This window comes from Homo sapiens, chromosome 8 (genome assembly GCF_000001405.40).
Source record: "Homo sapiens chromosome 8, GRCh38.p14 Primary Assembly".
Lineage (NCBI taxonomy): Eukaryota > Metazoa > Chordata > Mammalia > Primates > Hominidae > Homo > Homo sapiens.
In genome coordinates, this window is record NC_000008.11 from 112,368,321 (window position 1) to 112,396,044 (window position 27,724).

General features: G+C 34.9%; 1 protein-coding gene across 10 annotated transcripts in view; it reads right to left on the reverse strand.

Moving 5' to 3' along the window:
• The window catches only part of CSMD3 (CUB and Sushi multiple domains 3), a 1,214,012-nt gene that overhangs the window by 145,393 nt on the left and 1,040,895 nt on the right, over nt 1-27,724 (reverse strand). For all 10 annotated transcript variants that reach the window (NM_001363185.1, XM_017013010.2, NM_052900.3 and 7 more), the window contains 3 exons: nt 22,344-22,468; nt 15,247-15,343; nt 12,032-12,136 (listed from right to left, as the gene is read on the reverse strand). In NM_001363185.1, the coding sequence (NP_001350114.1) occupies nt 12,032-12,136; nt 15,247-15,343; nt 22,344-22,468 (327 nt within the window). The remainder of the gene's footprint in view (nt 1-12,031; nt 12,137-15,246; nt 15,344-22,343; nt 22,469-27,724) is intronic.

Consider the following 27,724-nt stretch of genomic DNA (forward strand, 5'->3'; position numbering starts at 1 on the left):
CTTTGGGACCTTGGTAAAAATGCAAATACTTGAGTGAATCTCAGATAAACTGACTTGACATTCTGGGTTGGTAGCCTTGTCATCTGGAGTTTCTAAAAGACTTCAAGATGATTGCAATGCACAATTATCTGAGAAGTACTAACTTACATAAACATATTAATAGTGCTTACACCATTTTGCAATTGCTCTACTTGTTTACATGTCCTTACTCTTAATTAGTCTAAAAATATTTTAAGGCTAGATGTTACACAAATTTGCAGCACCTACACCTAGAAAATGTACCTTGCATTTAACAAGTACTCAATAAATACTTGATGAATAAATGAATGGGTTTGTTCTCAGATTTGAAAAGCAATATGAAGATGAAAAATTATGGGAGGAGGTTATAAGTAGGGATATAATACAGGAGTTAGGACTAATTGCTTTGGAATAAAATTATCTGAGGTCTACTCTACAACTTACTAACTTAAAAGTACCTAAGCTCTGAGATTATTTTCTATAATTTTCCATTTGTAAAATAGGGTTAAAAATGTATCTGCCTCACAGTAATTTAAAAAAATAAAACAAAAATACCTCTATGAAACATTTAGCAATGTGCTTGACATATACTGAGTACTTGAAAATGTTAGCTTTTTAAACATATAATGATAATAGCATAATGTTGTATAACCTTCTTTATTATAATTATAATAATGACAGTGGAGGTATCATTAGCTAGTTTCGAAGAATCTAAGCAGTCATTCAAATGCTTACAGTTCATAATACTCTGGTACAAATGGCTATTTACAATGTGGATCTACCACACTTTGAAAGTAGTCATAGACAAGTCAATGTGAGCCTCAAATATTGGTTCTTTTCATATTATTAAATAGTTTTCTTTGCTTTTATTATTTTAAAAGGAAAAATATATGAAAACATTTAACGCAGCTATATAGAAAACTTTATTTAAAAATATAAACTTTTAGATTTGTTTAATGCTTGAAAGGAATAAAAAATTTACAAAAACCCAAAAGCAAGATTTTTCTTACTCTAAAAAATATAATTTTTGAAATTTAGTTCCCCTTCTTTAATAAGCAATTAACAAAAGAACATATTACAAACTAGCACATTTGGTGCAAGTAGCTTGTTAGAAGTCAGGTATTTGGTGACCATCAATAATAGACTGGATAAAGAAAATGTAACACATATACACCATGGAATACTATGTAGTCATAAAAAAGAATGAGTTCATGTCATTTGCAGGGACATGGATGAAGCTGGAAACCATCATCCTCAGCAAACTAACACAGGAACAGACAACAAAACCCCACATGTTCTCACTCATAGGTGGGAGCTGAACAGTGAGAACACATGGACACAGGGAGGGGAACATCACATACCAGGGCCTGTTGGGAGTTGGGGTGCAAGGGCAGGGAGAGCATTAGGACAAATACCTAATGCATGCGGGGCTTAAAACCTGGATTACAGTTTGATAGGTGCAGCAAACCACCATAGCACATGTATACCTATGTAACAAACCTGCACGTTCTGCACATGTATCCCAGAACTTAAAGTAAAAGAAAAACTAAAAATAAATAAAAATTAAATAAATAAATCACAATTTGCTATTGCAAGAAGAAGAAGAAGAGGGGGAGGAGGAGGAGGAAGAAGAAGAAGAAGAGAAAGAGGAAGAGGAAGAAGAAGAGGAAGAGGAAGAAGAAGAGGAAGAAGAAGAAGAAGAAGAAGAAGAAGAAGAAGAAGAAGAAGAAGAAGAAGAAGAAGAAGTAGTAGTAGTAGTAGTAGTCAGGTATTTGTATACTCAGTGATAATAGCCAAGGCATAGCCCATAGTCATACAAAGTGATCATCTTCATCAGATAAACATAATCATTGTTTTGTTTTGTTTTTCACTTTTCCAGCAAATATTCATTGAGGACATAAAAACAGCAAAACATCATCTTGTGTCTTATTGGAAATAAATAATGTGCAACACACTACCCAAAAGTAGTTTAATATTCATGCACAGAGATAATTCAAGAATGCTAATTACAATTATTACCTAAGCATTAGAACTGCAGAACATGGTAATACCTTGTAAATCAGAGCATGTCATTCCTCTGCTCAAATCTCCCTAATGATTTCCATTTCAATTAGAGGAAAAATAAAGTCCTTACAATGGCTTATAAGCCCCACTTACTTTTCCTCTCTCATTTAATTTCCTACTACCTCACTTTTTTGTTCTTCATACTTCTGTTTCGTGGTATTGGCTCTAGCTGTTCCCTAAAGCAGTATCTTCACTTACCAGTAAGGTTTATTCCTGCACCACCTTCCACTACTTGCTCAAATGTCACAGTCTCCATAAGGTCTGCCCTGACCACCATAACATCCTTCTTTTTATCCCTAGCACTCCTGATCCCTCAACTCTCCATCTATTTTTTTCTATGACACATCATTTTCTAAAATGTTATATAGATTACTCCTTTATTATATTTTCACCTTTTATCTGTCTTCACCTGATAGAATGTAAAATCCAAGGGGGCAAAAGTATATTGCCTCTTTGGTTGACTAATGGGAACAATGCCTGACACACAGAGTTCAGTAAATATTTGTTGAATGAATGAAGATATAGGCATTGAGACAGGTAAAAAGGAAATGATACCAGAATTCAGAGAAGGAAGAGACCACTTCTGGGCTGGGTTGATTTGATCAATGAAGTTAAAATTTAGGGTAGAAAAGGAGCAAGGATGGAGAAGATGCTCAGAAAACATGCAGCTGCCCAGATTTCCCCTGGCCTCCTACTGGGGATCTCACTGCTGTTCTCCAGCCCATGAGAGGAAGTGGGCAGAGGTGAGGGCCTAGCCCACATGGATATGGGGCACACGCTGCTGGGCAGAGAAATGGCTGCACATATACTGCTCCTCTGAAGCAAGACTCCTTGCTGGTCTCCTTCTCTTTTTCTCCTTAAAATATTGTTAGAATGCAGAGATCATTGATTTCCTTTGAAACAATTCCCATACAGAATACGACATCTCAAACAGTTCCTCAGCCCTTGGCAATATTTGTGTGCAGGTGTTTCATGAGAAGCAGCACATAAGGTCCTGAGAACCAATGAGTACTGGGGAGTGGCACAAGGAGCTTGTGGCACCTAGCACTGTGGCATCCCCTACACTCCAGGAATTACACTCCCTCCTAAATGTCTCCCCCATCTCCTTGCTAACCTGACTTCCAGCCCCCAGTCTTAAGTAAAATAGGAATTATGTTTTCTCTCTTACTACATCTGTGAGGTGTAAGATAAAAACAAATGACAAAGGATGGGCACAGTGGGTCACACGTGTAATCCCAGGACTTTGGGAGGCCGAGGCGGGCGTATTACGAGGTCAGGAGTTCGAGAACAGCCTGACCTACATGGTGAAACCCTGTCTCTACTAAAAATACAAAAATTAGCCGGGCATGGTGGTGCATGCCTGTAATCCCAGCTACTCAGGAGGCTGAGGCAGGAGAATCACTTGAACCCGGGAGGTGGTGGTTGCAGTGAGCTGAGATCACGCACCATTGCACTCCAGCCTGAGCGACAGAGTGAGACTCTGTCTCAAAAAAAAACCAAAAAAACAAAAAACAAAACAAAACAAAAATACACACACACTCACAAATGACAGTTCCAAAGACAAATTAATCTGCAGTGAACAAGGTGGAAGAAAGGAAGAATGAAGACTACTTGATAACAAAATACAAAAACAAACACAGGCTAAAACAAAAAACATGAACACTGATGGGATAAAAAAGTTCACAAATAAAAATAATCCATACACACACACATATGCACACACACACAATTCAGAGTTGAGTCTTATAGCCAGAAAAAAGAAGAGAAGTAGAGCATGTCAAGTGGAGGAAATGAATCGTGAAAGGAGTAGAGAGAGGAAAGGCATGTTACATTTTAAAACAAATGCTTAATTTGATTAAGTGGGGGAATATTACAAAATTCATGTGTGAAAAATGAAACATTAAGAAATCAGTGTTGGAATAAGAGGCTAAAGAATGTTGCCTTTATTTAGTAGATAGGAAGGTAATGATATGAAATGACCAAATATCTGGAAATATTAATAAGACCAAGGTGTAGAAAGGGTTGAGTGGAAGGAACATTAGGTTTATCTGATATAATTGATAGTGATAATAGTATTATGAAAGATCAGGCATTCTAAAGTTAAAATGCCATTATCTCAGGTTCAACAAAGAAAAGATAACTATAATGATAAAAATCAGCCTATCTGGCGGGCGCGGTGGCTCATGCCTGTAATCTTAGCACTTTGGGAGGCCGAGGAGGGCGGATTGCCTGAGCACAGGAGTTCGAGACCAGAGTGGGCAACATGGTGAAACCCTGTCTCTAGTAAAATACAAAAAATTAGCTGGGCATGGCAGTGTGACATGTAGTCCCAGCTACTCAGGAGGCTGAGGCAGGAGAATTGCTTGACCCTGAGAGGCGGAGCTTGCAGTGAGCCGAGATAGTGCCATTGCACTCCAGCCTGGGTGACAGAGCGAGACTATGTCTCCAAAAATAGAAAAAAAAAGATAAATAAATAAATAAAAATAAATCAGCCTATCCGCCAGCATTTACCTTTTAGGTAAATAAAAAGCAGGGCATGTCTGTGTAGTAACTCTGCCAGCAGAAAAAATATATATATATATATTTATATTTTATATATAAAAATATATATATATATATATTTTTTTTCTCATGAGTAGAAAAATCAGATGGCGAAAACACTCACTTGCTGGGAGGAATCTCAGCCAAATTTCCATTTACTAAGAAAGAACACCTGCCATGTTTCCTGAAACCTTCACTATTTAAAATACTCCTTTAGGAATATAGTAAGAGTCTACTTTCTTGGATGAAAAAAATAAACACTATCCTTTTTTATAGAAAACCTTAAAGTGTTCTGCATCTGTTGCTGGTATTCATAGTGTGATTATAGACTGTGATTTCCCCACTGTGATTCTTCCCTTATGTTACTCAGTGGGCAGAACTTTTATCTTAGAGACTGTCACAAATGAAATACCCAAAAATGTGCAGTGACATAGGTGTCTCCTTGATAGGAAAAAGTTAATATGCCCACCCTGTTTACACACACACACCACTCACACGCAATATCATTTTTTCCCAGTACCCAGTTGTTTAAGTATTTTGCTTATCTCAAGTACCTAAAATTAGGTATTTAAAAAAAAATCCACTTAGTCCTTATTTACATGCATTAAAAACACAGTTTTCTCTTCCAGAGGCTGTATATCTCAACCAGCATTTTGAGGCACCTTAAAATACATAAGGAGTTCTTCAGAATTTCTGTATCTAGTTATTAAAATCTGCCTTAACAAATGAACAGATTCTTGAATTGTCACAAAAAGAGATGTTTCTCTACCAAGAGAAGCCTACCTTTTTTGAAACTTGACAGAAATTATGATGCCCTTTTCATAAGCAAAATAGATTATTGGGCGGGCGGGAATCGATGTGGTGCTTGGGTAGAGGGCACTGTATTCGCTGGAGTTTCTGGGAGTAATAGTCTCCAGTGTGCAACTGAGTGAATGGTCAGCCTTTCTGATTGCCCTGCTGGATATTGTTCTAAACCACAGCTGCTCTATGTAGCACTTGATCCACCAAACAGATTTTAACTGTTATTCAACCTGTTCTTAGCAATGCAGCCAAAAATGCTGCCGTGGCTTGTTTTATACGTTTGTCCTTAAAGACCAGGGCAGAATTTATTAGTATTTTTAATTCTGTAAGGCAATACTTAGTCTTTAAATTTTCTTGTTCGATCTCCCACCATTCTCCCGAATTTAAACTCAATACTTAGCAAATATTATGTTAATGTCCTTACTGATTAGACAGTAGATTTGCAAACAAGAAACATATTATAAAATTTTAAAAAATGATTAAAAGAATGTTAGTTATCCTTTGGCACAGATCTCCCCACTATCAACAAAATGTATCTTTTTCTCATCTCTCTTTATCAGTCCCTCTCCCCTATTACCTCTCTTTTTCCATATCCTGTAACTCTCTTTTTCACATCTATTTATCTGTATCCTTTCAGTTTTCTATTTACAATTATAATTTTAATTTAGGGCCACTGACTTTGTTTAAAAATAGCACCTGCCACTGTAGTATTTTTATGTCACCAGTGTAGTCAAGTGTACCATTTAGTAAGGTATTTATTAAATTTCTTCAAAAAAGAAAGGTCTTTGTCTACATGGAGAGTTAACTTCTGCTAAATTATGATTTGATAAAATTATTATTTTTCTATATCTTTAAAGGCTTTTTGTAGTGCTGGTATTTTTAATTATATTTACTTTAATTCAGGAAGTTTTCAAATAATAATGTTCCATTTAAAAGGAAGCATTCAGCAAATGCTTTGATGTCTTAGTTAAGGCCTATCAACACAATGCTTTAAAAAGTTGCTGATTATAATATCGTCTTCTAATAGGTTGCCACCTTGTGGTTTTTGAAAAATACAGTTAACACATTTCACAGATTGCATAAATATCCTGCTCTATGTTTTGTTTGTTTATTTTTCTCTTAGGTGAAGAATCTAGATAGCTAACGACTCTTAAGAAGTGTCTAGGGATCATTTTGAACCCAAAGCATCGCTTTGCGAACATTTAGATTATGTGAATTCAAACTAACAGATTAAACGCCATTCACTTTGAATAGCCTCTGGACCATTAGGAGAGTTGGTAGTGTTATTATTTAAAGCAACTGCACATAAAACACACCAATGTATCATTTGTTCTTATGCTCATTCATTACCAATAGTAAATTCTTTCTTACATTTTTTAGTTTGATTCAGATAATTAATTTAGAGGACAGTGGCTTTCTTTGATTGCTTGTTTTATAGAAATAACAAGTTGTAACTTAATTGGGTAAACAGTCACAAATACACTACAGGGAAAAACATATTCCATGTAATAAAGTTTTCACTCAATTAGAAAAGAGATTTGTCTCATTCATCTCCCAATTCCCCTACAGTTCTAAGCAGAGTGTCCTTCACATAGGCACTCAACATTACTTTCTACATTAAAGATCATGATTTTAAATGCTTAAATTACAACTAGTATGTCTTTCCCGTCAAAGATGTTGGTTTCCAAGACCTAAAATTGTGAGATTTAATGTGACTAGTTATTGATTTCCCTCAGGAAGAGCAGTCAAACTTGCAATTCTCTGTTCTAAAAGGCAAGATACTATGTATTATTAGCACCTATTATGTGTTAATTAGGATATAGCTCAATTTTTCTCATTTATTAAAAATAAGAATTTCTAACTAAAAGAACAGTTTAAAAAATATTATATATAACTAAATCATCTTGTTAAATATTAATGATCATATCTTATACAAATAAAGGATTTTTGCATTCAGCAATATATTTTAGAAATGTAAAAGTTGTACACAAGAATCTTTTTAAAGTTTCATCAATTTACTTGTGGTTTATTATAATTTAATGGTCTGTATTATGAATGACTATCAAAACATATGCTGCTTTTGATCTGTGGCACCTATAACAAAGTCAAATTTCTCATTACGACATCCTATACCTTTCAGGAGTAGTCATGCTTATATAAGCAGCCTTAGTTACTGCCATGCCCTCAAATCTTATATACCAACCCGACTGAAATAGTTTGAATTTTCCCTAATGTGGCATATTTCATAGCTCTGTCTGAACATGAAGTTTCCTCTGCTGAATCTATCCACCCCGTCTTGCTTAACTGTAAAACTCCTACTTATATTTTAAGACTCACCCCAAGTGTCACCTCCTGTTTGAAGTATTCCCTGAATTTCCTAAATGTAGCTGATTATTTATTGCTTTTGGGTGATCTACCACAAATATATCTATTACTGTATTCAAAGCACTGTAATATTGCTTTATCTTTCTGAATCTTCTACTAGACTCTTCAAAGAAAAATACTGTGACATGTCTATCTTCACATTTTCTATGTCGAGCATAGTGCCTGACATATGGTAGGTGTTCAAAATATTTGCTGGTTGAACAAAGAATGAATGAATAAATTTTGTCTTATGGATTTGACATGTATTTGCATTACAGTAATACATTTATTGTATCTGAAGTTAGCAATAACTGAAAAGTAAACTTCATTATAGAACCAAAACAAGTAAAAAATTAATTACTTGCACATGCTTATCAATTGCAGCTGTTGTTCGCTCCCACTGAGAGTTTCACGTCATTCAAAACTTCCAGTTTAGGTAATGGTGTTTCAGTGAGGAACTAAGTGGCCTGAATGAGGTGATGTTGAGGAGCTAATACTCAGTGGGAAGCAGAAGCCAGCACAATTACAAAACATATGCACACCTAGATTCTAAACCCCATTATGGACACCAGCATCAGTGTAGGTATACTAATGTTAATGATATATATACCAACATTATATGTCCATTATCTTCTACCTCTAGGTGCTATGTCCATTTATTCATTTACTCATTCAACAAGTATATTTTAATTGTTTGGTAAGTTTCAGGATCTATACTCAGTGTTAAAGACACAAAAACACTCTAAAGGATATGGTAAACTGCTATGAAAGATTTTTGTCTTCTGGAGTTTGCATTTTAAGTAGAGTGTAAGAAAAACCACAGTTACCCAAACACTCACCTAATTACATTTGTGATAATTTTATGTGTGAAATGACACAATGTTTCATATAGTTGTTTAACAGGAGAACTAATCTATTTTTATGATGAAAAGTTTTGCAGGAATTTGGGAGATGAATGTACATTTTCTATGTCAAGAGTAGCCACTTTAATTCCAGTTTTAAAATTTCTACAGCATCTAGTTGCTTTTTCGCAATTTAAAAACACTTATAATAAAAAAGTAGGCATTACAATTGATGTCACAGAAATTAAAAGAATAAGAGACTACTATGAACAATTACACACCGAAAAATTGAATAACCCAGAAAAATGAAAAAATTCCTAGAAATATAAAAGTTACCAAGACTAAATTTTAAGGAAACATAAAATCTACATGGACCCATAACTAGTGAAAAGATTGAATCAGTTAACAAAATCCTCCCAACAAAGAAAGGCACAGCACCAGATGGCTACACTGGTGAATTCTACCTTACACTTAAAGAATTAACATCAATCCTTCTCAAACTCTTCAAAAAAAATTGAAGAGGGGAAAATATGTCCAAACTTGTTTATTGCAGTCAGCCCTGCCCTAATACCAAAGCCAAAGACACCACAAGAAAAGAAAAGTATAATCCAATATCCCTTTTGAATATGGATGCAAAAATCCTCAACAACATGATAGTAAGCCAAATCTAGCAGCATGTTTAAAAACATCATATACCACAACTAAGAGGAATTTATTCCTGGGATGCAACAATGGCCAAATGTATAGAAATCAATAAATGTGATATATTACATTAACAGAGTGAAGAATACAAGGCACATAATTGTATCAATGAATGCAAAAAAAGTATTTGAATGTATGTGACACCATTTCATTATTAAAAACTCTCAAAAAACTAGGTATATAAGAAATTTACCTCAACATAATAAAGACCATATATGAAAAGCCCATAACTAACATCATACTCAATGGTAAAAAACAAAAAGCTTTTTCTTTATAATCAGGAACAAGGTAAAGATATCCACTCTCTCCACTTCTAATCAAAATACTACTGGAAGTCCTAGCCAGAGGAATTAGACAAGAAATAGAAATAAAAGGCATCCAAGTGAAAAAGGAAGAATTAAAATTGTCCCTGTCTGCAGATGATAAGATCCTAAATGCAGAACAACATGATGACTCCACGGACCACACTGAGGTGTCATCTTGCCCCAGTTAAAGTGGATATTATCAAACACACAAAAAAAAATGTGGAGAAAAGGGAACTCTTATACGTTGTTGGCGAGAATGAAAATTAGTCAAGGTATTATAAACAATAGTAGGGAGGTTTCATTAAAAAAAAGAAAAAAAAAACGGAAAATAGAACTATATAAGATCCAAAAATCTCACTGCCGGATATATCCAAAAGACAAAATCAGTATATCAAAGAGATACCTCCACTCCCATGTTTATTGCAGCAGTATTCACAATAGCGAAGACACGGAATCAACCTGTGTCCATCAATGGATGAATGGATAAGGAAAATGTGGTATACATGACAATGGAGTACTATTCATCCATAAAATTGAAATCCTGTTACTTGCAGCAACATGAGTGGAATTAGAGGATGTTACGTTAAGTGAAATGAGCCAGGCATAGAAAAGGGATATTGCATATTCTCACGCATAGGTGGAAGCTAAAAAAGTTGATCTCATGGAGGTAGAGTAGAATGATGATTACCAGAGGCTGACTTGGAAGGCAGGGATGAAGAGAGGTTGGTTAATGGGTTCAAAAATACAGTTAGATAGAAATAATAAATTCTGATGTTTGATAAGCAGGGTGACTAGAGTTAATGGTAATTTATTGTATACTTTAAAATAATGAGAAGAAAGATTTGAAATGTTCCCAACATAAATAAATGATAAATAATTGAGGTTATGAATGATAATACAATTACCCTGATTTAATCACTACACATTGTATACATGTACAAAAACATCACATGTATCCCAGAAATATGAATAATTATTATGTATCAGTAATGTTGAAGAGATTCCATTAAAAAAAACTGTTAGAACTAATAAATGAATCAGTAAAGTTGCAAGATACAAAATTAACATGCAAAGAATCAGTTGTAATTTCTATATACTAAAAATAAACTATCCTAAAAGGAAATTAAGGAAATAATACCATCTACAATAGCATGAAAAATAATAAAATACTTTAGAATAAACTTAACCAAGGAGGTGAAAGACTTGCACTCTAAAAACTACAAAATAGTAGGCGGGACGTGGTGGCTCACGCCTGTAATCCCAAAACTTTGGGAAGTCAAGGTGGGTGGATCACCTGAGGTCAGGAGTTCGATACCAGCCTGACCAACATGGTGAAACCCTGTCTCTACTAAAAATATAAAATTAGCTGGGAGTGGTGTCGGGCACAAGTAATCCCAGCTACTTGGGAGGCTGAGGCAAAAGAATCGCTTGAACCCAGGAGGCGGAGGTTGCAGTGAGCCAAGATCATGCCATTCCATTCTAGCCTGGGCAACAAGAGTGAAACTCCGTCTCAAACAAAAACCAAAAAACCTGAAAAGCTACTAAATAGTGACGAGAAAAGATACAAAAGACACAAATAAATAGAAATACATCCCATTTTATGGATTGGAATATTTAATAATGTTAAAATGTCCATACTACACAAAGCAACCTACAGATTCAACTAGATGCTTATCAAAATCTCTGACAAGTTTTTCCAAAAATAAAAAAAGTACTAAGATGCATATGGAACCACAAAAGATCTTGAATAGCCAAAGAATTCTGGAGCAAGAAGAACAAAACTGTTGGGGTCACAATTCTTGATTATATATTACAAAGATACGGTTACCAAAACAGTGTAGTACCGGATAAAAACAGATATACAGACCAAAGGACATCCAGATGAACCTGGAGGACATTACACAGTAAAATAAACCAATCACAGGAGGATAAATACTTCATGATTCCACTTCCATGGGAAATCTAAAATAGTCAGACCCAAAATGGAGTAGAACAGTGGTTGTCAGGGGATAGGGAGAGGGGGAAATGAAGAGCTGTGGTTCAATGGGTATAAAGTTTCAGTCATGCAAAATGAGTAAGCTTTAGAGATCTGTTGCATAATATTGGACTTATAGTTAATACAATATTGCACACTTAAACATTTGTTGAGAGGGTAGATTTCACATTAATTATTCTTACTCAACAACAAAAAAACTTGTAAATTCTTGTGAAACCATTAAAACTTTATTCATGTAATTTTGCAATTGAACTGAAGTAATAGTTCAAACTTTCAAGAAAATAAGACAATGTTTTCTTTGAGAAAGTTGCTATAATATGTACATATCAACAAAAATATTTTTAATTAATATAAACTTGTTCTTAACCTTTTTGAATGGCACATGATATTATTTTTACCTGTGTATTCAAGATGAAATCCTGCAGCAGAAACACTGATGTCTGATTGAAAATTTAGATACAGATTATTAGACGTACTATTCAAAAGATGGGGTATTGTTGTTCCTGAAATGATATATGAGAAGGCAAGACAATGACCACATAATAAGTACTATAATAAAATTAAGTAAGTTTACTAATCAGCCAATAGAATACCACTAAAAATATGCATTATTCAAGTTGTTTTTCAAAAAAAATTTAATAGAAATATTTTTCTCACAATCCTCTTTCAATATACTATTCCTGTTTCCAAGAAGACAGACCACCTGAGATGGCTTTAGATTGCTTCCTAAAAATAGGTAGGAGCAAAAAGAGCTTGTGAAAGTTAAAGCTATACGTTTGACATGTTCACCAAAAATAAATGTTGAATTTCATGTGGATTTCAGTATTCCGTGCACAAGCTAATAATAAACAATAAATACATATATATGTAAAGTTATATTCTGTTAGAAACATGAATGTTTGCAATGATTGCTTTCAAAGAGATTATTACTCTGTATTCTCTCTGTTTTCCAATATGTTTTTTTGAAGACTGTGTTATACCAGAGGCTTCTGATTGTCAAAGTGATAACCAGTTTTAACTGCCTGTATGTACCAGATTGGTGAACTAACTAAAAAGAAACACAAAATATGAATAAAACACAGTTTGCAAACTAAAAAAGAATAAATAATAAGCTTAATTTTGAACTTTGCAAAGTAACAACTTTTTATGAGTCAGATAATATAGTCATTGATTTCCTTTTAATAATGAATTAAAGTTAGACAGCTAGATAGATAGATTATTCTATACCAGGTCAAGTGCCTCAATGTTTCTTATACCCTGACAGCAAAGCTGGTAGTCAGCTTTCAAAAAAATTCCAATTATGAACTACTGTTACTCTTGTCTTTCAGCAAATGCATTATAATGATATTTTTCTGGACTTCTGAAGGAGATCAAATTTATTTTATTAAGTTATTGAGCTTGAAAATATAAAGTATCTGCTTGAATCAATTATTTCTTGACTTTGCTATTGAGCAAAGAGTTTAAGATCTTTGACTCCACCTCTAGCAGTTTCAAATGGCAAGCATGAAAATAAACAAGCGCTAATTCTACATCTTAAGACATAGTTCAACAAGCATATGAGTTGAGGTCATTACAAACATTTCTTTATAAGTAACTACTTTCTTTACATTTGCTTTGCGCAACTTTGTGGACCTCACCCCTGATGTCTTCTATGGAAGAACAGAAAGAATTTATTACACAGCACACACTTGCTTCTTTTCTGGCCATAGTGTGATAACAGCAACCACTGAAGACAGGGATAAACAGAAACTTAAAAGGTCATTTCACCTGCCTTAAGTCTCTTACAGGATGTTATTGATTAAGAGCTCTAATTCTGGAGTCACACCAGGTGGGTCCCAATCTCATTCTAACATTAGTTGTACAACCTCAGGCAACTTAATCTCTCTAAGCCTCAATTACCTACCAGGTCTGCTAGAAAGATCAAATAAGGAAATGCATGGCAAATGTCACACAGAGCTAGCACTTAGTAATCAACAGCTGTTATTTATCACTCATATTATCATTACATTATTATTTTAAAAGTATTACAGATGGGTATGGTGGCTCATGTAATAATCATGGGATTACAATCCCAGCTAATCAGGAGGCTGTAAGACAGGAGGATCTCTTGAGGCCATGAGTTGGAAACCAGCCTAGGCAACATAGCGAGACCTCAGCTCTAAAAAATAAAATAAAATAAAAATTAATTGGGGTTGTGGTATGTGACTGCAGTCCCAGCTACTCAGGAAGCTGAAACAGATGGATTACTTGAGCCCAAGAATTCAAGGCTGCAGTGAGCTATGATTGCACCACTGCACCAAAGTCTGGGCAATAGAGCCAGACCCTGTCTCTAAAATGCAAAAAAAAAAAAAAAATTAATAATACTACTAATAAAGTATTACCCCTAACCTATTACAAATAAAAGTGTGCTAAAATTGTGTGCGATTTTTCTAAGATTTCTATCTAAATCTATATTGTTCATGTTTAAATCAAATCACTCTTGCTCCAGATATTTCTTTCTTTTCCTCATTGGTGATGATAAGTAATTGGTTCCACAAGTCCATTTAAAAATCTCTTAAAAGCTTAAAGCCATTCAAATTTATTTCAGCATATCTGAATTGAGTAAGTTAATATGTTAGCTATATTTATATTTCTAGAGTTTAAAAAGTATAATAGTAAAAAATTAACAAAGTAAAACTTTTTATTTTAACTTCTATATGTCAAAAGAAGCTTTTAAATTATTGCATAAACTACCTTTTAAACCTCAATAAATCTGGCTGGGTGTTGTGGTTCACACCTGTAATCTCAGCACTTTGGGAGGCCAAGGCAGGTGGATCACCTGAAGTCAGAAGTTCACGACCCGCCTCGCCAACATAGCGAAACCCCATCTCTACCAAAAAATACAAAACTTAGCTGGGCGTAGTGACGCATGTCTGTAATCCCAGCTACTCTGGAGGCTGAGGCAGGAGAATCGCTTGGACCCAGGAGGCAGAGGTTGCAGTGAGCTGAGATCTCACCACTGCACTCCAGCCTGGGAGACAGAGCGAGACTACATCTCAAAAAATAAAAACCTTAATAAATCTAACAGATTTTAAAAACAAGTCAACATCTTACATAAAAATATAAGACTTCTATTTTATTTATTTCTGGTCTTGTTAAACATGTATACACTAATTTTATATAATTTTATTCATTTCATAGAAATAATTCTGTATTCTCTTTATTCTCATTTAACAGTACCTTGTAGCATTTACCTGGTTATTTTCATGACTTCATAGCACACAATTCAAAGCACAGTCTAATTTTTAATTATTATTGCTCATCCTTTTCTTTTAAGGAAAAGAGCGTACATACTATTCCTGAACCCTAACTCAGCTGAAAATATTACCAGTAACATAAAACCATCAATAAATAATTACACAAATATAGGAAGAATTGGTAAGAATGTAATAAGGTTTTAAATATCAATATTGATATCATCTTTAAATCTTTTAAACTTCAGTCCTTGTATCTTTGTGTATAGTTTGTAAAAAGCAAATTAAAACTACCAAGTAAGAGTTGTAGATAGCTCTTTAATTTTTTTTATATTCCTAATTATATCTGTATTTTAATTAAGCTCAGCTCTCTTATTTACCTGAATAGCTTCCAAGTCTTGGAGCATTGTTGTCTCCCCCATCATAAAAGTCCAGAGAATCCCAATTATGTTCTGTAGCAAAGCTAACAACTTGCACCTGTGAAATAATAATTACAGGTAAGAATACACATTTCTAACCAGATACACATAACTATAGTCCACCAATCCCCCTTGGAAAAGAGAGTTCAAATCCTGAACCACATAATTGTGACCCTTCATAGAAGGGTTTTTAACAGAACTGATTTTTTCCATTATTGCACTGGCTTACACGAGCTGATTTTTATATAGAAAAGCCTTTGAAGCACCGACCAATGTTCATTGTGGGTATAACCAGAGCAATGTCTGTCACTATCTCAGAACATTCTCTTTTCAAAAGATTTGAGCTAATCTAATGACTCAGTGCCAGGAATCTCAATGCATGTTCAAAACAATCGGTGAATTTTTATGTATATGTACTGATTTGAGTTTTCTAATTTGCTTGTAGCTATTAGGAAAAACCAGATCTGTGGTCTACAAGCCTGTAGGACCTTATAATATACCTTTTTAAAACCAGGTTTATTTCTGGATACTTTTAATTTATCCTTTCCTTGCATAAACTTTGCTCAATTTCTTCTCTTCCTTTTATTTAAAAATTTTTAACACGCATATTTTTAATAAGTTTCAGTATGGATGACACAAAAAAATGATATTTTGTAATTAATTCAAATGAATTTTTAAAAATTTATTTTAATGAATAGAGTTATAGTAACTACGTCACAGTGAAGGTCCTTAAAGTTGAGAAGGAAAATACTGGGGAGGTTTAATTCTCTCCTGTCTATTACAGTTTATTTAGAGAAAGATGCATGTGTTACTTTATTGCACATCACTTGGCACAGCTTGAGCTTTTGCAAGAACCCACAGGACCCTCACAACTACGGATGCTACCTATTTTGCTATTTCTTTATTAAATTTTTTGTGGTTTTAGAGGAAGGAAAGGAATAACTTTATTAAAAGTTTTTTAAGCTAAAATCTGTTAAAAATGTATGCACTGCACTCATTCACTAAATAATTACAACAATTTCACTCATTAAAAATTTATTATCTGCAAAATAGCCCATCATTATTCTTCCATGCAAGTGAATGCTGGTGCCTGTTTCCAGGGGTGAGTGCCACATGGCAATAGATACCCTGCCTGTATGATTGGCATCAGACCCAATGGCAGTGTTCTAAGATAGGAATAAGACCAGAAGTAAAGCCGTATGATTGTAGTATAACCGCCACCTCCTTAAACAATTATCAATTCCCTCTTCATATCTAAATTTCCCTTTCCTTCAATTCAGAGGAAGAAAATACTGCATTCAGCTTTTTAAAAAATGTGAAGATTCACGCAGGAGTTGACATTTGGGCTAAGCTGAAGATATTGAGTTATTCCACTGAAGGAAATTATTGAGTGTCTAACAATGTAAAAGGAGTCAAACCATAAGCTAGATTTAGTGGACCATGAGTAATCTTCTTTAGCTACAGTGGGGGGTATTTACATAAGAATAAATATACATGAAAAGTTCGAGAAAGAATAAAAAAGTTCAAAAGAGTAGAGTACAGTAGCTAAATACAAGAGAACTTAGAATCAAAGAGGCTAGGTTTGCAACTTCCTGGCTCCCTCTCCTCATGGGCATATCATTCAAGGAAAGTTGTTCATCTTTCTGTACCTCAGATTATTTACATAAATTATTGTCATAAGGGTATCAAATTCATAAATTCATTGTAAAAATTAAATTAGTTAATTCATATAAGGCACCCTGCATGTAGTAAAGACTCAATAAAGCTTAGCTAAGAGGAAGATCAGGGGAGAAACTCAATAAAAAACTAAACCCCAGCATAGCAACTATGCACTTCAAGACGTGGTGATATCTTCAGTTTTCCAATGAAGGTTTCAGAAGTCGGAGGAAGAACATGATTAAGACAGTGCTCTAAGTACAGCACTGCATTGGGTGAAGAAAGTAAAAGTGAAAGACAATTTCAATATCTATTTCAGTAATATTTCAATATGTATTGCAGTAAAAAACAATGAGAGACTCAAGTGTATTGGAGGCAGGAGTAGTAAAAATGGGAACCCAGACGTCACATGTGTTGCTGTAGAGGAAGTTATTAAATTTTGTGTGATTTGAATAGGGGAGGAAGTGAAAGGAAAAATTTGAGAATAATTTATTTTCTTTTCTGTTATTGAGAGTAGTGGGGTAGCAAGAGCAAAAATGTAGACATCTCCAAGAAAATCTATTGCCTAGGTGGGAGAAAGAAAGTCAGTTTACTTCTGGATACATGTGTCTAGTGTATATAGCTGAATAATGGCTTCTGGAGATATCAGGTTCTGATCTCTGGAACCTCTAAATACTACCGTATATGGAAAAGGGTCTTTCAGATGAGCTTAATTTAAGAATCTTGAGAAAGGGGAAAAGAGGCCAAAGGAGATTCGACATTCATAGAAGAGAAGACGATGTGAACACGGAGGCAGAAATTGGAGTGATGTGGCCAGAATCCAAATGCCAGCAGCCACTAGAAGCTGGAAAAAACCAAGGAAGAGATGCTGTCATTCCTGAGACCCTGAAGTGGGCAGGGACGAGGGAGGAGAGGTTCTGCCAGCATCTCAATTTCAGTGCAGTAAAGCTGATTTTGGACTTCTTGCTTCCAGCGCTATGAGGAAAAAAATAAAATCTGTTGTTTGTAACTATAAAACTCATGGTAATTTGTTACAGCAGCCAGAGAGATGTAATATAATTTGCCACTGGGATTCGAGGTACATTGTGAATGTAGTTTGGCATAATAAAAATATAAAGAGTGTAGAAGCAGAATTTGGCCAGAAGAACTGGCAGACAATGCTATGAGATTTGTTAAGGGACTCAAATACATGATCGAGTACTCACTATGACAGAAGACACATGAAAGCCAACCAAAGATTTTTTTTTTCTTTTTTAGACAGAGTCTCGCTCTGTCGCCCAGGATGGAGTGCAGTGGCGCGATCTTAGCTCACTGCAACCTCTGCCTCCCGGGTTCACGTCATTCTCCTGCCTCAGCCTCCCGAGTAGCTGGGACTACAGGCGCCCGCCACCACGCCCGGCTAATTTTTTGTATTTTTAGTAGAGACGGGGTTTCACTATGTTAGCCAGGATGGTCGCTATCTCCTGACCTCGTGATCCGCCCGCCTCGGCCCCCCAAAGTGCTGGGATTACAGGCGTGAGCCACCGCGCCCGGCCCAACTAAAGATTTTAAAAGAGGTAAATACTGATTCAGTGTTCAGAGTAACTTTGCGTTAGATATAGTTGTCCATCATGGTAATGGAATAGCTTCATGAGGTAATGAATTTCCAATCATTAAAACTAGGCATCTATCATATAACTGTTCAAATTACATTTTACTTTAGATTATATAAAATCACGATAATCATGCTGTAAATTGATACAATAATGTAGCCAACATATTTTCCCCCATGGCTTATTACATAAATATTTCCCTTTTCTTGATGGCTATCACTGCTAATTTTGAATGTAGCTGCACTGGAATTCTCCAATAGACCCTGCTAAAATAAACAAACAAACAAATGAATCCACTCTTTGCCACAAAGAGTGGGAAATTCTCATGTAATATTAACAAATTGTTTGTTCAGGTAATTCCCAAAGAATGTTCAATTATTCTATATTATTGTAATTTTTCAGCATTCCATATGTTTCTTCTTTTCTCCTCTTTTCAAGAATGATTATCCCACTTTATCTCATATATGATTTATTGAATATTCATACAATTCTTTATTCACACACATATTTGGCCCAACAGAGAAAAATATTAAACATTGCTTTAAACCTAGGGTAGTAGCCAGATAGCTTTTAGGTAAATTTAATGAAGTTTCAAATGTAAGTCATATATTATGTGTGTGTGTGTGTGTGTGTGTGTGTGTGTGTGTGTGTTACAAGTTTCTATGACTCAGTGATATGTCTAAAACTAGCATCCATGTAAATGGTTAATTAGAAAAAGGTCCTTGATAGTTTTTTTTTAGCGTGTTTAAAATTAAAAGCCCCAAATGCTTTACACACTATATGTTTGCTAAACGTGCTGCTAAACTCAAATTTTGTTTTCTAAAGTACAGTCAATAAACAAAGTCCTTCCTCAGTGAAAGATTTTAGTGTTATTCATATGTGTCCAGTTTTGAATAGTGTTTGCCTAGGATAAGTGATATATAACACAGTTTTTCTGCAAACATCTTAGTAGTTCGTTATGCCTGCTAACTCTAAAATAGTCAAAACTCCACTTGTGCAAGTATTCATTGATTCGTTCTAAAAATATTTACTGAGAATACACTGCCAAGCACTGTGCAGCATGTACTTCCACTGTACTAGTTGTCAGAATGGACTTGGCACTGTCCTCATGAGCTTACAGATAATTAGTAGTAACATTGAAATATGATGGAGAACTTAACCTTGTCTCAAGTTCATGGAAGGTCTTCCACAGAAAATGTATTTAAGTTGAGACAGAAATGTTAAGTAAGAATAAGCAACATAAAAGGAGATCATAGAGAGTGCTCACAGAAAGAACAACATGCACAAAGGGTCCAGAGGCAAAATGAAGCTAGGTTTTTATAAGGAGCTGAAATAGTGCAGATAGAATAGTTACAAAATGAGAACAGAGCACAACGGCATAATCGACAGTGTCAAAAGAGATAAGGAGATTGGAGACAACTGAGGTATTAGATACAAGAAAATGATAGTATTAGATTTTTACTTTCAGATGGTTACTCTACTGGACGTACAGGGAATAGACTGCAGGAGAATAAGAACCTGGGACAAGGGTGATGCTATCTGATCTCGGGTAGTAAAAGTGTGAATGGAGAGATATAGATTTGTTTAAGAGATTTATGAAAGACAAACCTGACGAATTTCATTGTACCGAGTAAGAGTCAGAAAAGAATCAAAATTTCTGACTTGTGTAACTTAATGGATGAGGAAGTTGTTCTGAGAAAGAGAACACTGAGAAAGTTCTATAGTTTTGAGAAAATTCTATGAAGTCAGTTTTAGAGGTTGAATTTGACAAGCCATCAAGAAGTTTAGCTGAAAATGTCCAGTGGGCAGTCGGACATATGTTTTGCAGCTTAGGTGAGAGGTCTGAGTTAGATATTTAGGTCTGCATGTCATCATTTATTCAGTCCCTCATTCAAAAATATGTTTTCTGATTATCTATTATGATTTACGTCCTCGACATCTCTAACACATAAAAGTAGCTGAAGCCATGGAATTAGACAAGGTCCCAGAGAGAGTAAAGTGAAATGAACAAAGGCCACAGAATCTCATAAACACTAATATTTGAACAATGGATTGAATTGCAAGAGGAGACCATGTAGTAGATATAGAAGTAGGAGCTACAGATGTAGAAGAGAAAACAAAACAAAATCCAAGAAAATATTGGTGTCCTAGGATCTAAGGAGAAAAAAATAGTCTATTAGGAGTCAGGGGAGGAACAGCAAGATAGAGAGCTGCTGACAGAGCAAGAAAGATGAACCACACAATGGATTTAATCATATTTAGATCTTCACTATGAGACTGGCTCTATTAGAGTATTAGTTGCTGAAGCCACATTGCAGTGGGTCAAAAAGAGAAGATGATAACTAAAGAAAACATGTCAGGGTTTTCAAAATTTTAAGATTAGATGGAAATAAGTAAGCTGATTTAATATATAGATGCTCTTGAATAACCTTGAGAAGATTATAACCAGATGATGTGGTAAAAGTTCTATGAAGATTCTAAAGGTATCATATCATTTCAGATCCTCTATACAAGCTGGAGCATGGGCAATCCCAAAATCCTTATTATTCTACTATAATAAGATAGGATTGATTCGTTATCTTCAAATTTGACAAATTGTCTATAAACTAGCAAGAATGTAAGTATGCATCTATAATCTTTGGATGGCCTTAAAACTCTGAAAATGTACATGCTTTTTGTTTTGTCATTGGTTTGCTGGCATATTTTACTCCCAACACCTGTCAAGTAATTTTTAAAACGTCTGAACAATTATAAATCCATGAAGCTGATTTTTTTTACTAAAAATTATGCTTCAATCTAATTTCATTATTAATGCATGGCATCTTGGCTAATTTTTCCACAACTCTTATATGTCTCAAGTTTCTAAAGAAAAACTCTACAAATCAATTAGAGAAGTAATCAAGTTATATCTGTGAAGGCTAGATAATATTTATGAAGCATAATTACCTTTCATAGGATATATATACTGATTCTGCAGTAAAATATTATCAATTCATCCAGAAAAAATATATATCTTTATGTAAAACAGAATAACTGGTCAAATAGCAGCCCCCAAAATAGCCATAATTCAAATAACAGGACAGTCACTGTTGATTACCTATTTTTAAAGAGCATCTTCCTTCCTTGCTAACACAGATCTGGCTTAGTTCAATTAAGTGAGAGATGTGTGCATAATAGGAGGCTGCACTTATTGCTTACTCCTGATACGTAATATAGTTTTATTTGAGCCAAATCATAGTAAATCTTTGGTTGTTGCCCATTGCATAGGTTTGGAACGGATATGATTGCAATCTTGGTCAATAAAACAGGAGGGAAAGTCTGCTGGCAGGTTTCCTGAAAAGTTTTCTTAACCACTGAAATGGTACATAACATAGGGACATTCTGTTTTAGCTGCTGGCCATTGCTATGTAGGGCTGTTACGCCTAGAGCTTTTGCAGCCACCTCAAGACCTCAGGAGAAGGTGTCTAAGAACTAAAACCAACAGGCTGAGCATGGCAGAACAGAGAGATGGAAATAACGTGGGTGAGGAAAGACACACTGAACCCCTGAAATAATGTTTAAAATCTGCTTACCTCAAGATTCCATGTTATATGGGGTTAACACATTTTTTTTGTATTGCTTATGCCATCTTGAATTGGCTTTCTGTTAATTCTACGTGAAAAAAATTAATAACAAATATCTTTCTATTCATTTCAACCATGTCAGTCAAAACCACTTGCTAAACTTTTAGAAATAATGTTCATTCTGTCATCTCTGAAAAGATTAACTACACACATACAATGAAAAGAAGAAAAACTTAAATATTCTTACTTGAATGCCAGCTCCCTCTGGCACTGTGATCTTCCACACACAATTCAGATTGTTGTCATAAGGCTCAGGGTATCCAGGTGACAAAATAGTCCCTTTGCGCTTAGTTAAAATTCCACCACAGGGCACTGAAAATAAAGCAGTCCAAGAGAGGGAGTTAATTCTAATGCAAAGGATTAAAATAAGAGTAAAGGTCAGAGATAACATCTTAGACAGATACTAGACTTGCAAATCAAATCATACTTTTTTCAAAACTGATAAAAGCAATGAAAATGAAGTTTTTGTATACCATGGAAACGATAACAAATAATTAGACAGCATTAATGGATGACCTTTGAATGGCATATCTAAAAATCACACTACAATTAACTCAATAACAGCATAGTATTTGTATTATATTACTAAAACACGCATTGACTAAATTTGCCTTAAAAATAGTTCATTTTTAGATAAAAATTGTCTCGAATTTTTAAAAAATTATTTGGTACTTTCTCCTTCATGCATTCTTTGAGGAGTAACAGCATCCACTGGAAAGTAATGAGGATGATGATAACAATTATATTATGATCATAACATTTATATAGAGCCTACTATATGCGAGGCACCCTTCTAAGTACTTTACATATTTTAACTCATTTAAGCCTTCCAACAACTAATGAGATGACTAAGTACTCTCCACATTCTACAGCTGAGGCAATCAAATGGAGTCATTAAGAGATTGTCTTGCCCAAGATCACATATGAAGAGATGAAGCTGGCCAGGTGCAGTGGCTCACGCCTGTAATCCTACCACTTTGGGAGGCTGAGGAGGCTCACCAGGTCGGGAGTTCGAGACCAGCCTGGCCAATATGGTGAAACCCCGTCTCTACTAAAAATACAAAAATTAGCCAGACGTGATGGTGGGCGCCTGTAGTCCCAGCTACTCTGGAGGCTGAGGCAGGAGAATTGCTTGAACCCAGGAGGCAGAGGTTGCAATGAGCTGAGATTGCGCCACTGCACTCCAGCCTAGGAGACAGGATAAGACTCCATCTCAAAAAAAAAAAAAGATGAAGCTGAGATCTGAATCCTGGCAGTTGAAGCCAGAGTCCATGTCCTTAGATGGAACTGAAGATACTTGAAGTGGTCCCAGTTTAGTTATTGCCAGTCTAACTACTACAAGAAAGAATATGTATGCAGACCTACTCAGAAGTCAATAAAGGCTTCTATCATTTTTAGAAGGTACTAGTCTGAAAGTAAAATTCTCATGCCATTAATAGAATCACCTTGATTCTGGCCATGACCTAACTCATAACTCTTAAATTCTGTGTGACTTTGACCTGTTCTTTACAATCTCTGAAACACAGATATCTTATCTGTGGAATGGTAACTCTATTGTTTCTAAAAGGCTTTTGTGAAAAATACAAAGAAGCTAGAATGTACATAAGAAACAAGCACACACCTTGGAAAACAGTTAGAAATCAATAAATTATATTTCCTTTTGCTACAAATATTATTTTAGGTCCCAATTGTACTGTGCTCCTGGGGAATTTGTCCTAGTATGGCTATAAATGATGAGATACAAAGAACATATCTTTTGTAATAATAATTTATTTTAAAAGTGAATTACAGTTTTGTGCCACTTCCAAAGACAAACGCAAAAACCAGGGCAATTACTCAAAAAAAAAAAAAAAAAAAAAGATGTTGCAAACTTTTTAAAATAGTGTGACAATATATTTTTAAAGAAACTCACTTAGTCGTGTTTTCTTACAAAGCTCTGTAAATGGGTTATATACAAATTCTGTTTAAATTAGTCAAAATTAATTTAGCTAATTTAAATAGAAAACCAGCAGTTTTGCATGATTTGAGAATGACATGCAAAAGACAGAGGAAGAAATTTAAAATATTCACCCAAAAAATAGAACAAAAACGTAATTGATGAAGTGTTGATCCTGCTGATGAAAAAAAAATACTTTATAGATGCTCTTCCTCTCCATCGCCACCGCCACAACTTTTCCTCATACGTACTTTTTTTTTTTCTGAGTTACTACATTAATCAAATAAGTGGCCTCCCTATGGCTGGTATGTTTTCCATGCACTATATTTTTCAAAATACTGTCAAAATTATTTTTCTAAATTAAAATATGACATGTTGCTTCTCTGGTGAAAATCCTTCAAAAATTTCCCCATTGTCTGAATTCACAGCTCACAGATAGTTTCTTTTTTTTCTTTTTTTTTTTTTTTTTTTGAAACAAGCTCTGGCTTTGTCGCCTAGGCTGGAGTGCAGTGGTGTGATTATAGCTCACTGCAGCCTCAAATTCCTAGGCTCAAGCAATCCTCCCACCTCAGCCTACAGAGTAGCTAGGACTACAGGTGTGTGCCATCACACCCAGCTAATTTGTGTACAGATATTCAGCTAATTTTTATATAGCTAATTTGTAGAGACAGGATCTGTGTTGCTCAGGCTGGTCTTGAATCACCAGCCTCAAACAATGCCGCCTCAGCCTCCTAAAGTGCTAGGATTATAGGCACGAGCCACTGTGCCCGGCCTACAGATAAATATAGTTAATTGTATTAGTCTCTGATTTCATCTCCAGGCTTGTATGTAACTATAATTTCCCAAGTCCTCATCATCTTAATCCCCCAACCCAGTCCAGCCTTCTAAACTAATATGCTTTCTTATTGCTGTCACTTGATTTGTCCCCTTCTCTCACCTAGCTAACACCTACCCATCTATGGACTTTCAGTGTGAATGTTACCGCTTCAACCCTTTGGAATTTCCCTGTGTTAAGTGTCCTGTAGTTTACCATAGCACCAAATGTTTTCCTGTACAATTTTATCATACTATGCTTCCGTATTATTTTTATGTTAGTCTCTTGAAACAGACTCAAGTCTGAGCAGACAAGGTCACCCTTTTGCCTGAAACTCTGTTTATCAAGATTCTAACTCTTCTTCTTTGCATTATAAATTTTCTTCCATGCTGCTACAGTGACAAGCTATCTCCTCTTCCTCCATCCTCTCTTTCATGCATTGCATCAGACTTTTGTCCTCACTACTCTGGTGAAATAACCATGTCAAAGTCACCAGAATATTAATGTTGTGATATGATCAATCCTTAACTTGCATTTTACTCAATCTATGAATAATTAGCTCTCACTGTTGATCACTCCATCTGTCTTGAGCCTTTGTTTGCTTGAACATCAGAACACCATACTCTCCTGGTTTTCTTCTCTATTATTGGCTGCACTCAGATTTTTTTTTTTTAACTCATTCTCCTCTTTGTAACTTTGTCTTAGGCCATATTCTCTTTCTAATCACTGTCCCCCCTTCCATGTCTTCTATATACTCTGACTACCAGATGTTTATCTCTAGCTGTGATTTCTGTGAGTTTTGCAATCATATGTCTAACAAGTATCTCAAAATGGATATGTCCAAAATAATAACTTTGAAATTCTTCTTCATCCACACTCTCTTTCATCTTAGGGATTGTCACCACCATTCACTCAGTTCTTAGGCCATAAACCTAAGATTCATCTTGATTTATCTTTCTTGCAGTCAAGTTTACATTTACATCTATTCTCAATCTATCAGTAATGGCTCCACCTTAAAAATATATCCCAAAGCTTACTAATTCTCATCACTGTGACCATAATCTTCCTATCCAAATCACACTACTTTTCCCCTCCATTACCTTGATAGGCTTCTAATCAGTCATATTGGTTCTACTCCACATCTCCCTACACTAACTACAGTGATTTATTAGAAACTGATTAAGATCATATCACTCCCCAGCTCAATATATTCCCATACTAGTTAGGAAAATTTCAAACTCACCGTGGTCTTCAAGGATCCATGTGACTTGGCCCTCTGCTCTGCCTCTCTAAACTCATCTCCTATCACTCTTTGCTATCATTTACTGTGTTCCAGACACTGTGGCTTGAACACGTCAAGATCTCTCTCCCTCAACAGTCCATACACTTGCTCACCAACAAGAAAGACTTTTATTCATCCCTCCCTCTGTTCATTTTATTCAGGTTTAAAATGGCAGCATGCTCTGGGTGTCTTGTTGCAACTCCAGCTCCTGCTTTATTTTTTTCTACAGCATTCTCACTCCCCAAAAGAAAAGAATATATTTCTTGATGACTTTTGTCCTCCTCCAGTAAAATGTAAAATGTAAATGCAAAATGTAAGGACAAAGATCTTATATTCTTATTCAAAACTATGTCACCAGTGCTTAGAATAGTGTTGGCATGCAGTAAGCACTCAATAAATTATTGCTGAATAAATCACTGAAGAACTGATTGTGTATCTGTACATATCTTGTGCTTTCAAATTACCTCTTTATCATTCCTGCATCATTCCTGTCTCCCAGTATTTTTCTAAACAAGCCATATTTGTCTAATTCTACTGCAATCATATTTATTTATTTACCAACAAAATATGCTATAGAAAAATTAGCAGATACGCAATACCACAATCTAACATTTGCATCCTGTTTTTTAAAAGATATATGATAAATTTCTGTTCTGATCAGTATTCAATATAATATGTGGATTAATAGAGCAGGCTTTCAAATCAAGCAGCCTAAGTTCAAATCCAATTCTGCCTTTTTATCTAAACCAAGAGGTTTTACTATCTGTAAAATAGAGATAATTATATCTACCTTCCAAAGTTGATATCAATATTAAATGAGATAATGCTTAATAGTGCTTCATTCAAATGCCAAAAATTGCTATTTATTATTGTATTTAATAACTTTTTCATGGATGAATGGATAGATGAATAAATGGATAAATGAATGAGATGGAGAGTTTGTATATATTTCTTCATGAACTTTTTTTCCCATTCTAAGAAAAGATGAAGTAGACAGGTGTTGCCATGGAGACTTTCAAGTAAAAGTAGTTCTTTCTGGGTCTCTAAAGAACTTGAAAAAACAGAACCAGATAAGCATGATCAGATAAGCAGCTAATTAAAGACTCTTTGCCTAAGGGGAGTAGGTGGCAGCTTCCAGGGCTTTTCAAAAAAGACCTCCCACTAACAGAAGTACTTATGCCTAAGGTCATATATTGTCAAAGCTATTAGTGGCTGCAGGGGGTTATTTGAATCACAGAGTCTAAAAGGGAGGAAAGCCTGGGGGTTTAGGAGACTGCATAGTTTAAGAAATGTGAAATGTAACAAGGTCAAATTTGGAAGATAAAAACTCAGTCTTCAGCATAAGTTTTATTTTTCAGTTTTTCATTGGTCTCAAGTCTAATTTTTTTAAGTAAAATTTTATTGTATTTTATTGTAATTAAGAAAGGCTTGGAACTACAGCTTTGTACAAGATTATTAAATATTGTTTAAAAACTGGTTGTTAAAGTTTGTGAATCTTCTAATTTAGTATTTGACCATTTTAACTATAAGCACAAC